Below are 12,371 nucleotides of genomic sequence, written 5' to 3'. Positions count from 1 at the left end.
AGTGGTACTACATGTACTGCACTTTAGATATCATACTTTTACACATTTTATCTTTTGCTTGATGCTTCTTTCCATCACTTTCCAGCTCCCCATTGTCTAGGACCTGTCTGCATGATCTAAAACCATCATATTTATTGGCTTAGCCTATTCAGCACAGCTTTCCTAGTGGTGCGGCCTGGGTCACCCTCTCCAGCACCTCCATTTGCCTTCTTTCATTTTTGTTGCTGAACTTCTCTCCCAGGTCATATTTCTAGCTGAATTTTAGCCGCACTGTTTGGATTTCTGCACCTTTAGTCATCCTAACAAGCTCTCTTCATTTACTTCACATAGGCATCTTATAAATTGCCTTCAGTCACATTGCCCCTTATTCATATGGTGTCAGTAAAATGTTTGGTTGATTAATAAATTGATAAATGATTTAAAACTACCAAGTTTATTTTAGGTGGCTTTTAAGGGCTTAGATGAGAAGCAGTAAAATGAACACATAAATACAATCTTCAGATACTGATTCCTGATTTCTTGTATGGAGAAAACAAAACAGGGTAAAGTATTAGAGAGAGAGACAAGAGGGTTGTACTCTCTATTGGGATAGATGGGGAAGATTTCTTTGAGAGGGGAAGACTTGTGTAATGAGAAGGAACCAACAAGAAGATCTGGAGAAAGAGTGTGCAAGATGGAGATGGAGTGTGCAAGATGGAGGTGTACTAAGACTCTGAGATAGGAGTGGACTTGAGGGTCCAGTTGGGGGATGGAGGAGAAAAACACAATCCAAAAAGGAGAAAAGTAAATAGGAAGAGAGGTCAGAGAAGAAGACAAGGGAAAGATCCTATCATCCACAGCAAGAAGGATGAGATATACCCAAGCACAATGAAAGCCACTGGAACAGGTTCCAAAGGGAGGAACATGATCTAACCCCTTGGTCCAGGTTCTGGAGAGACTAAACTAACTGCAGGTTCCCATACTTAATCACTCCTGTCTGCCTTTGTATGTGGTATTCTCCCAACTGGATCCCTCTCCATAATTCTCCCAGTTTTCCCAGCTCATCTTGATCATTTTTGACTCTGGACTTCTACTGTAAAACAAACAAACAAAAATATGATCAACTTTGCTTCATTCCACATTTCTCAAACTTACTTGACCACATACTTTTTATATGAAATGTCTATTACCTTCTTTGGGAATACATTTTAGACTTTTAAGCTACCCCAGTTGCTCTTTCTCAAGATGTAAAATAATGTAGTTATTCTCTGTTGATTACTTTTTATATTAATCAGTGTTCTCCAGAAAAGACCCCCCAAAATATATACATGCATATTTTTTCTCTCTCTCCATATATAATATATAAAATATATATATATTCTATCAATACACAATATAAAAAATATATATATTCTATCTATGAATACACAAAGGACCCTGTTTTCCTTTCTCAGCCTTCCACTGCCTCTGCAGATACATATATATATATATATATATATATTTGAGAGATAGAGAGATCTATTGGCCAAGGAGGTTATGGAGGCTGGCACAACCAAAATCTGTATGGAGGGGCTGTCAAGCTGGAGACTCAGAGAGAGCCAATGTTGCAGTTCAAGTCTAAAGGTCATCAGGCTAAAGATGCAGGAAAGAGCTGATGTTGCAGTTCATGTTCAAAGGCAGTCTGCTGCAGAATTTCCTCCTGCTCAGAGGAAGTCAGTCTTTATTCCACTCAGGCCTTCAACTGTTTGGAAAAAGTCCACCTACATCATGGAGTGCAATCTGCTTTACTCAAAATCTACCAATTTAAATGTTAATCTCAACCAAGAACAGCCTCACAGAAACATCTAGAATGATGCTTGGGCAATGTCTAGGCACTGTTGTCCAGCCAACTTGATACATAAAATTAACAATCAGATCTTTCTTATAGGACAAGACAGAGACAGATAATCAATTTTTCCATTTTAAAAAGTAATGCTTTCTGTGTTTTATTCTAGGTGAATTTGGACATATGCATTTTTGTTGCTGCTAGTAAATCAGCAACCATGTAATCAACAACCTCCTCCCAATAATGATCATGTTAATTAAAGGCTTTCCTGAAATAAATGTTAAAGATAGAGTAGTCAGATAGGAAGAGTGAGATGAGAATAGACCAAAAGTGGGAACACATATGAGGTCAAGATAAAAAGAACAGAAAGAAAAAGATTGATAGACATTCACTGATGAGATACCCTAGTAAAACAGAGTAGAAAGAGATGATAGCAACCTAAACTTTGCTGATGTAGGATGGTAGGGAGCAAGAACACTTAATAATGGTTATTTTTTTTTTGAGAGCAGCTGTAATTGATCAGCATTTCATGCAAATGAATAATGTAGGTGAACCTTATCAGCATGCTGGAAGCTTACAATTATTCAAATTACACAAAGCCATCAAATTTGTGCAAATCAAAACAACAGAAAGAGCCATTAATTCCCATTCTATCCCCTAGCATTCTAGGGTTTTACCCACGTTTGTGATGGTAAGACACTTCAACCTTGAAATTAAACAGAGAACATGGTGTGGTAATTTAGTCACATATTCACCATTTAATTGTTTTAAAGGTGATCTAGGCAAATGTACAACGTTGAAGTATGCACATTTTTAGTGTGCAGTCCAATTCTGTTCGTGTCTTGCATGATGGATTCAGAATTTCAGATCATTCTACCTAATAAAAAATGTGGTAATTAAGATCAGTTTAATGGTAGTGCTTTTGGAGGATTAAAAATGTTTAATTTGAATACCACATTTCCATTCTGAAAAGCTGGGGTTACTAGAAAGTGAATATACTGGCCATGAAATACCTCTGAAACAAATCATCATTCGCAAACTGGATTTCTCTCTTTCCTGAGTATGAATCCATCTGTCAATCCACAAAGGACCCTGTCCTCCTCTGTCAGCCTTCCCCTGCCTCTGCATATATCTGTGACATCAATAGTTTAAGACAGTGGCTGCCCATCCTGGAACATCATTGGAGAGATAGGCCCTGCAGAATGCAGGCTTTTTGCTGAGTTAGACATGAAATTCACAGCACAAGGGTCCATCGACTACTTCCTATTGAACTGAGTCCCACTTACAATATGGTCACTGGGATTATCTCCCATGTGTTACAATTGTGTCTCCTTTAAAGAAGTCAGGAAAATTACCTGATGGTAAATTCTGTCACAAAAGAGATGTTAGGCTAAGGGGATTTGATGATCTAGAAAATCCACTGTCACCAGCAAACTGTAGGATCTAAAGAGAGTTATCAGTTTTTTCTGTGCCCATACTTCTTCATCTGTAAAATAGATACTATGATCATGTATTGAGTTTGTAATATGTGCTGATCATTTTTAATGATTTACCTCTCTTAATCTTCACAATAACATTAGAAAATAGGCATAATAATGTACCCATTCTTTCATTTGTAGAAGACATACCTGATGCTTAGAGATTTCAACTATTGCCCAGGTCCACACAGCCATGGAGGCAGGATTTAAAGCAAGCCCTCCATAATACTTGATCTTAATTATAGCACTAACTCCCACTATGATAATTAGCACTCACCTGGTAAGGTTGTTCTGGGGATGAATTTATATAATGTTTGTAAAATATGTAGCAAAAATACCTGAAAATAGATGCTAGCTTGAATACTTGGATACAGCAGCAATAACACATACTTCCTAGGTAACTTTTTTTGTTTTTCAATTCCCTTCCAAAAGTTCCCTTACTTTCCTTCAGTACTAATAAATCCAAAGTCAGTACCATCTACCAGATGTCTATCCATGTCATCAAAACCTTTTAATTATTCCCTAGTTATTTTTTGAATGAACGTGTTGTCTCTACAGTTTCAGTTGCTTTAGGCAGTATGAGAGAGTCAAAGAGCAACAGGCTCTTAGAAAACCAGCCTGGATTCTTAGCTCTTCCATTGGACTTTCTCATTTCTAAAAAGGAAATAATACCTTTTCTTCCTCTGTCAGCACTAAAATAAAATCCAAATGAAAGCAAAAATATGAAAGGCTTTATAAACACCAATGTGTACAGAAATGTAAAGGTGATATTAACAAGAGTTATGACATCTTCTAATTTCTTTCTATCCATCCAATTTCAGTGTGTCTATCAACATAGCAACCAATAATTTTCAACTTGCAAATTTTACTGTTTAGGCTCTACTGTTAAGTGATACAATGAAAAGAGGATACATTCACGTGTTATTCTTATGTGAATAAATTGTAGACAATTGCCTGTATACTTGCTTTTTTTCTAGGACAAATGGTCTCATCTTATTCATATTTAAACCAAAGTTTCAAATTTCTTTCTGGCAAGTATTTTGGCTCTAAAAGTTCATGTGAGATAAATAAGTTGTATGAAGGTTGGTTGATCGGTTTCAGACGATATTTAGGTTGGGATCTCTCAGAAGAAGACTTTGAAGCAGATATGTGAAGGAGTGCTCTTGGGTTCAACATCTGTAGAAGAAGGGAAAGATGTAGGATTGGGCAGAGGAAAAAGTTGGCCTCAATCAGACTCAGGAAAGGTCTCAGCTGATCCCATGGGGAACTCTACAGTAGGATAGCCCCTATTGACCCTAGCAGGGGAGAAGGGATTGAATCTTTGTAACTATATGAACCAATTTTGGATGCATACTGCCCCAAGAAGAGGGCATGACTTTAGGTGAGTGGCCTCTCTTCAAACAAAGCAATTCCCAGAATGGACTGACAGCCAGAAGCACTCTTAGCAGCTTGGGTATGATGTCCTTCAGCACTAAAAGGGGCCCTGGGGAGCTATTACAGCATTTACTACAGATAGTGATGTACCTACTTTACCAGACTATGAATCTCATCTACATCTCCTGACAAATGGCCATGTAGACTCCAGTTAAGTCACTTCCTCATTAGTCTCTCCATCCAAGTTTATTCAGAAATAACTCCTATTTTATTATTTGGAGGTTTATATTAAGCTGAAATCTAACTCCAGATTCATTAATCCTTGAATAGAGAAGATTCTGAAGAAACTCTGCTAAAGAACTCAACCTGCCATCTGGAACAAAATGAGACAAATACAATGCTTGGAACTCATACATGTTTGCTGGAAGAATAAATGGTTGTGTGAAATATAGAGTTTATGTAGCTAATGGTTACTGCACAAATCTTTACTCTCAGCCACAGTTACTTCACCCCTGCATGAGAATAATAGTCATTTTTTTTACTGAATATTCATTACTTATCGCAATCTGTTCTAAGTGCATTGCATGAGTTTACTATCTTGATATCACAATAACCCTATAGGATGGGCAATATAAATCCCATTTTATAAATGAGGAAACAGGTTTAGGGAGGTTAAAAAGTATGCCAAAGTCACATGAATAGTAAATAATGAAAAGTGAAGCACTCTCTTGCATCTCATAAGGGGAATGACGGTAAAGGCAGTTGGCACTCACAGTTTAATCTGACATTCTCTTACTTTCTTTGTCTCATCTATTAGTTTCCTGGCCTACCTAATAAAGCATCACAAACTGGGTAGCTTAAAACAATTGAAATTTATTATCTTATAGTTCTAGAGACCAGAAGTCTGAAATCAGTGTGTCAGCCAGATTGGTTCCTTCTGGAGAGCTCTGAGAATGGAATGGTATTCCATATCACTCTCTTAAATTCTGGTGTTGCCAGCAGTCTTTGGCATTCCTTGACTTGTAGACACATCAATCTCTGCCTTCTTTATCACATAGTGTTCTCGTTGTGTGTTTGTCTCTATGTCTCTTCTCATTTTCTTATAAGGACACTAGTCATATTGGATTAAGAACCACTGCAATAAAGTATGACCTCATGTTAACTTGTGTACATCTGCAAAGACCCTGTTTCCAAATAAGGTCACATTCACAGGCATCAAGAATTAGGAATTCAACATATCTTTTTAGGAAACACAATTCAACCAACAATGCCACATAATTTTCAAGGAGATAATTATTTGGAAAAACAAATCCAATCAATGAATATTTCTTATCTTGCTGCTGATATGGTTTCCACGTTTGCCCTCTCCAAATCTCACGTTGAACTATGAATTCTAAGGCTGGAAGTGGGTTCTAGTGGAAGGTGATTGGATCATGGGGGTGGATGCCTCAGGAATGGCTTAGCGTCATCCCCTTGGTGATGAGTGAGCTCTCTCTGTTAGTTACCATGAGATCCAGTTGTTTAAGAGTCTGGGAACTCCCTCTTCTCTCTTACTCCTGCTCTTACCATCTATATGCCTGTTCCCTTTTTGCTTTCCCCCATGAATGTAAGTTTTCTCAGGCCCTCACCAGAAGCAGTTGTTGACACCATGTTTCCTGCACAGTCTGTAGAATCATAAGACAAAATAAACCACATTTCTTTATAAACTACTCAGTCTCAGATATTTGTTTATAGCAATGCAAAAGCAGCCTAGCATACTTACAATGTGTCTATTGTTGTGCTAGCTACTGGAGATAGAGTAGGTAATAAGACAGATTATCTGCCAATCAATCGGACAGTCAAAAATATTTATTCAGCATGTAGTATTAATCAGGCACAGGTCCCAGAGCTAAGACTATTGTAACGAACAGGACAAAGTCATATTACCAAATATAATTTTGGAGACTAAAATGTGCTATGAAAAAAAAAATAAGCAAGGAGCTATAAGAAAGAGTGACTAGGGAAGGTTGGGCAATTTTGTCCAAAAAGTCAGGAAAGTCATTCCTGGGAGGGAATTTAAACTGGGAGGGATATTGAAACTGAGAACTGAGTGACTACAACAAGGCAACCGTTCAAAGATCTGGAAGCAGAGAATCCAAGCAGAAGGGTAGCCAAGAGCAACGGCCTTCATGAGGAATAAATGTAGAATGTTCCAGAAAGAGAATGAAAATCAATTTCCCTGAAGTGTATAAACCAAAGGAAAAATAAAAAGAAACATGTTAGAGAAACAAGTGGGTAAGGGGTTTGACCTTTATCATCAAGCTACCTTGAAGATGTATTAAGAAGCATGATTTGAATATAAAAGTTTTAGGAACGTGTGCTCCATAGGGTAGACTGTAGAGGGATAAGAACAGAATCAGAAAGCCCACTTAGGTGGCTATTCTATAAATCCAAACAAAAAATGATGACATTTTGAAGCAGGGGTGGAGTGGTGGAATTGATGAGAAGGAACCAATTGGAAGACAGATATAGAAGTATTTTTGAAATGGAGATGATGGAGCTTTCTCATGAGGGATTGACTTTAAAAAATCAAGAGCTTACAGTATAATGGGAGACATCACTGAAAGGGGTAATTTCAATTCACTGTTATGAATGCTACACTAAGAATAAACCCAAATAGAATTCTCAAAACTGTTTGGGAAAAGTTAAAGAAAGCCTAGAGTTTCCTCAAGACTGTTGGGAATGTATTTTTCACAGCTGATATTTTGTCCTATCTCATTTCAAAAGCTGGTGTGCTTGTGAGAAACACAGGGTACACATGGTTTTCTGCACAGAGAGAACCCACATCACAACACTATATGTTTTGGCAAAGACTCCTGTGTTATTTCTCCTGAAATATAATGACTGTGTTTAGTACTGGGTAGCCATTTGATGAGTGGAGGTAGGGTTGGAAGCAGGACATGACATTGACCACAAGTATCTTTCTCCGATCCCTCAGGAAAAATATGAGGCAATGGAGTACTAGTTTTGAAAGAAGTCCTATATGAGAACATAATATGCAGACATATAGTCCTTCTAAGGCCAGTCTCTCTAGATACTGTGTGCTGAAGAACTCCAGATCTCTACTGTACTAACAAAATTTCTCTCAGAATGCATATTGGGCTTGCAGTGGAACTTGCATGACTTCATAAGCCCCCCAAATCACATTTCAATAGACAGCATCATCTGTATTAGCAAATAACAAAACTGTCAGTAGCACAGACTGTAAAATTATAATTGCTCTGTATTAATCATATTAAGGCAGGAACATATTTATGATTGCCAGATAGCTATACAACTTCCTGTAATAACTGAAAATGTGTTATCTTTTTTTTCATTTTATTTTGTTTAATTATACTTTAAGTTCTGGGATACATGTGCAAAACATGCAGGTTTGTTACATAGGTATCCATGTGCCATCATGGTTGGCTGCACTCATCAATCCATCATCTACGTTAGGTATTTCTCCTAATGCTGCCCCTTCCCTTCCCTTCCTTTCCATCTCCTGACAGGCCTGGGTGTGTGATGTTCCCCTCCCTGTGCTCACATATTCTCATTGTTCAACTCCCACTCATGAATGAGAACATGTGGTGTTTGGTTTTCTGTTCCTGTGTTAGTTTGCTGAGAATGATGGCCAACAAGCATAAGAAAAACAGCTCATCATCACTGGTCATTAGAGGAATGCAAATCAAAACCACATGTGATACCATGTCACAGCAGTTAGAATGGTGATCGTTAAAAAGTCAGGAAACAACAGATACTGGAGAGGATGTGGAGAAATAGGAATGCTTTTCCACTATTGATGGGAGTGTAAATTAGTTCAATCATTGTGGAAGATAGTGTGGCAATTCCTCAAGGATCTATAACTAGAAATACCATTTGACCCAGCAATCCCATTACTGGGTGTATACCCAAAGGATTATAAATCATTCTACTATAAAGACACATGTACAAGTATGTTTATCGCAGCACTATTCACAATAGCAAAGACTTGGAACCAACCCAAATTCCCATCAATGATAGACTGGATAAAGAAAATGTGGCAAATATGCACCGTGGAATACTATGCAGCCATAAAAAAGAATGAGTTCATGTCCTTTGCACGGACATGGATGAAGCTGGAAAATATGTTATCTTTAAAACAAGCCATGACCTCCTGGAACTCTGCCTAAAATTTAATTTGTTGTCACCATTTGGGATAGTGACTTAAATGCTACTATCCATCTGACTAATCATTGATTAGGAAGTAAGATTTAAAAACAATATTTCCATAATCAAGTGTGCTTTCCTATAAACACAAAACTTCTAAATAAAATATTCAGCATAAATATTGGCTAATGTAAGCTCTAAAGAAAAGGTATAGGAAAACAGATAAAATGGTTCAAGATTCAAGGAATTACAATTGTGTAGGCAAAGACTAGTGCATTTACATTACTCTCAACCACGTGTGTGTGTGTGTGTGTGTGTGTGTGTATGAACTTCTGATAGTCTCTCAAAATTTATTTCCATACCCGGATTTCAACTTTTTAAGTTAATAAGCCTTTCAGTGTTGTGCTCAGGAGCTAGTGGTGTTTGAAAGCTTGATGCATATCTCCTTTGAGGCGCTTTTTATATAGTTACTCAACCTTTAATTGAGTAAAAAGTAGTTAACACTTTTGGCATATGAGTTCTTTGCCCATTTTGTTAACTTCTACTTCCACTGTCTGTTTCTGAGAAATGATCATCTATAATGTGGATATTAATTTTAAAGATACTGCCACCTAATTTTAAAGATACTAAACTCTGCTGCCACAAAACTTTTAACACATTCTGAGAAAATCATGTAGCAACCATTTTAAGTGAAATCAGAAAGTAGCTTCCCTCAAAACAGCAACTAATTTTCCTAGTGGAGATCACTCTTTCTTTCTGTACAGTCCAGAATAAAAATTAAGATCATCATAAATAGAAATACATTCTAGGCATCCTATGTCTTGATGAGTGAGAGGGGGTAAAATACTAGAAGAAAAAGTAAAAAGAAATGTTATGTGAAAAGCCCTGAAAGCCTACTCTGAGGTATTGCAGTTTTTAAAAGTGAAAGAAATTCTACAAAATCATGTATAGATTTTTTTTTTTACATTTTTTAAGAATACTCAAGACTTACTTCAGTGAAACATTGATTGAACTGTAGAATCTTGGAAGTGAATATAGCCAATCAGAATAACCAAATTTTCCTAGAATATCAGATTCCAACATTAATGCATAGTTAAAACCAAATGCAGTCATCAGCCTTCATTCCCCACAACTATGCTGAAAAGAGAAGGCTGTGGGTATGAGCTGGGAGGAATGAGGACATGGGAACATAGGGGAGGTCATCTGAATAAATCACGACTCATTAAGCACCACCATTACAAATAAATCATTGTTGTTCTGTCACTATGTACTTTCCTGTTAAATAAGCTCCTAGATATTGTATCATGTCTAATCTCTTTCTGCAGGGGCTGGTGCTGTATGCTTTTGGATAGTAGATGGAGGAAAACAAGAAAAAGTGGTCATGGTGCAATAGTCATCTGGTAAGTTTTTTGAGAGAACACCACTTGGGAAACATTGATTTCCACATTCTTATCCCCTGCTGTACACTGCTGTGTATAACCGGTGAGTCGTGTATTAAATAAAACATCAATGTTCTAAAACGAGTTTCACATTCATGACCAATAATAAGATTAACTGTTGTGCTTTTTAATACATGCTTCAAAAACATGTCTATATAGATCATTAGTGCATAATAGCATCATTCAGAAATTTTTGAGAAAATATAGCAATTTCATATCAATTAAAAGATTTTTCTGAAGGGATGCACTTTCAAGTAATTTAGTGTTCCTGAGTTCTGGGTGCTGTTATCTTTTCAGTAATATTTAGGCAAAAATGCAGTAATTATAATTGTATCATGGATAAATTTATTATAGGTTGCATGTTGAATTGGTGCTTTCTGTTGCAGATTTTACTTTTTGTTTGGAATTACTCATTAGAAATAATTATTGAGGGACATAATTAGAATTGTGCTGCCTACTGGTGTTTAGGGGCATTAACTATCACTTTTTTTAATGTTTTTATAATTTGCATTTATTAAAATGTGTAGGTAGCTAAGCATCTTCTTATATGTTATAGAACACTGATAGGAAAAGTGACTCATTTCATGAGGAAAGTTTAGCTTATTATGATGATACTCATGTGTAAAAAAGAATTAGGTAAAATGTAGAGTAATTAAGGAAAACCATCATGCCAATCACATAAATTTAATGGAAAAAAACAGCTAATTTTTAGCATTGTAAAAGAAAAATTCTAATAGTTATTTTATTTCTTACATTACCTGTACCATGTACAAGTATTTGTGTGCATTCATTGAAGTGTATATGGGCTTTCATTTTGCAAATCAGGAAAAAAAACGTATTTCGTTGAAGTGGAAAGGGATATGAGTGGAGGGAAATGTGCACCTTTGGTTCCCTCAAACCCTCTGATTTTATGTTGTTTTTGATCATTTAGTGTTAGAGAAGCTTTTTGTTTTTTTGATGAATGACCCTGGAAACTTGTGAATAACACATTTTGTTTTAGAGTCCAAATGACAAAAACTAGTAAAGAGTTTGAAGAAGGCAATTCTCACCACCGATGCTTAAAACAATGTTGATAGCATTGAGAGGCAGTCTTCTTGGTACAAATGTTGTTACCATAAGTAGCAGCAAAAAACAGGCTCTTCAAGTGACTTTTTGGGCATATGTTTCAAAAGGGAGAGTCAGAGCAGAAGCAGAACACAATAGGTACTACCGGTGTACCATAGCTGACGGTTTGCGTTGCAAACACACCTGAAACATTCTTTGGGGGAATTTCCTGATAACCATATGGAAATCATCAACAGCCTAGTGGTTTCACACACACAAGTAGCAGCAAGAATAGAGACATTAGTTTATTAATTTTATTGTGGGTTCATTTGTACCCATCAGATGGTATGTTCCATTATTGGGGGTTGTACATTTTAAAGCCTATTATAGTTTTAATCTCATGGCTCTGGACATAGTCAGAACAAAGGTGAAACCCCCAAATATTATCATAGTGTTAGGATACTAGTTGTTAGCTCTTTCACTGACATGTCATATATAGATTTGTTTCTCACTTAGGTAAAGTATGATGCAGGTTGAGTGTCTAACATTTTGAGCTAGATGACCTGGAGCCATGACCTCCACATTTAGTGCAACAGAAGAAGAGAAAGATAGAGGAGACACACCACTCCTGGAATCAAACTTTGTATTAGTCAGGGTTCTCCAGAAAAACAGACTAATAAGATACACACACACACCCCCATGCACACGTGCGCGCACACACACACACACACATATATGACAGAGAGATTATTAGAAATTTGCTCACATAATTATGGAGGTGGGCAAGTCCCAGAATTTGTAGGTGAGTCAACAAGCTGGAGACCCAGAAAAGCCAATGGTGTAGTTTCAGTTCAAAGGCCAGAAAAAAGCCAATGTCCCAGTTCAAAAGTAGGCAGAGAGAGTGCTCTATTACTTGAAGGAGGGTCAACATTTTGGTTCTATTCATGCCTTCAATTTATTGAGTGAGACCCACTCACATTATTCAGTCTATGGATTTAAATGTTAATCTAATTCAAAAATACTCTTACAAAAATACCCATAATAATGTTTGTTCAAATATCTGGG

This window comes from Homo sapiens, chromosome 12, assembly GCF_000001405.40.
Source record: "Homo sapiens chromosome 12, GRCh38.p14 Primary Assembly".
Lineage (NCBI taxonomy): Eukaryota > Metazoa > Chordata > Mammalia > Primates > Hominidae > Homo > Homo sapiens.
The sequence above is the reverse complement of the archived record's forward strand: the minus strand, read 5'-3'. Positions refer to the sequence as shown.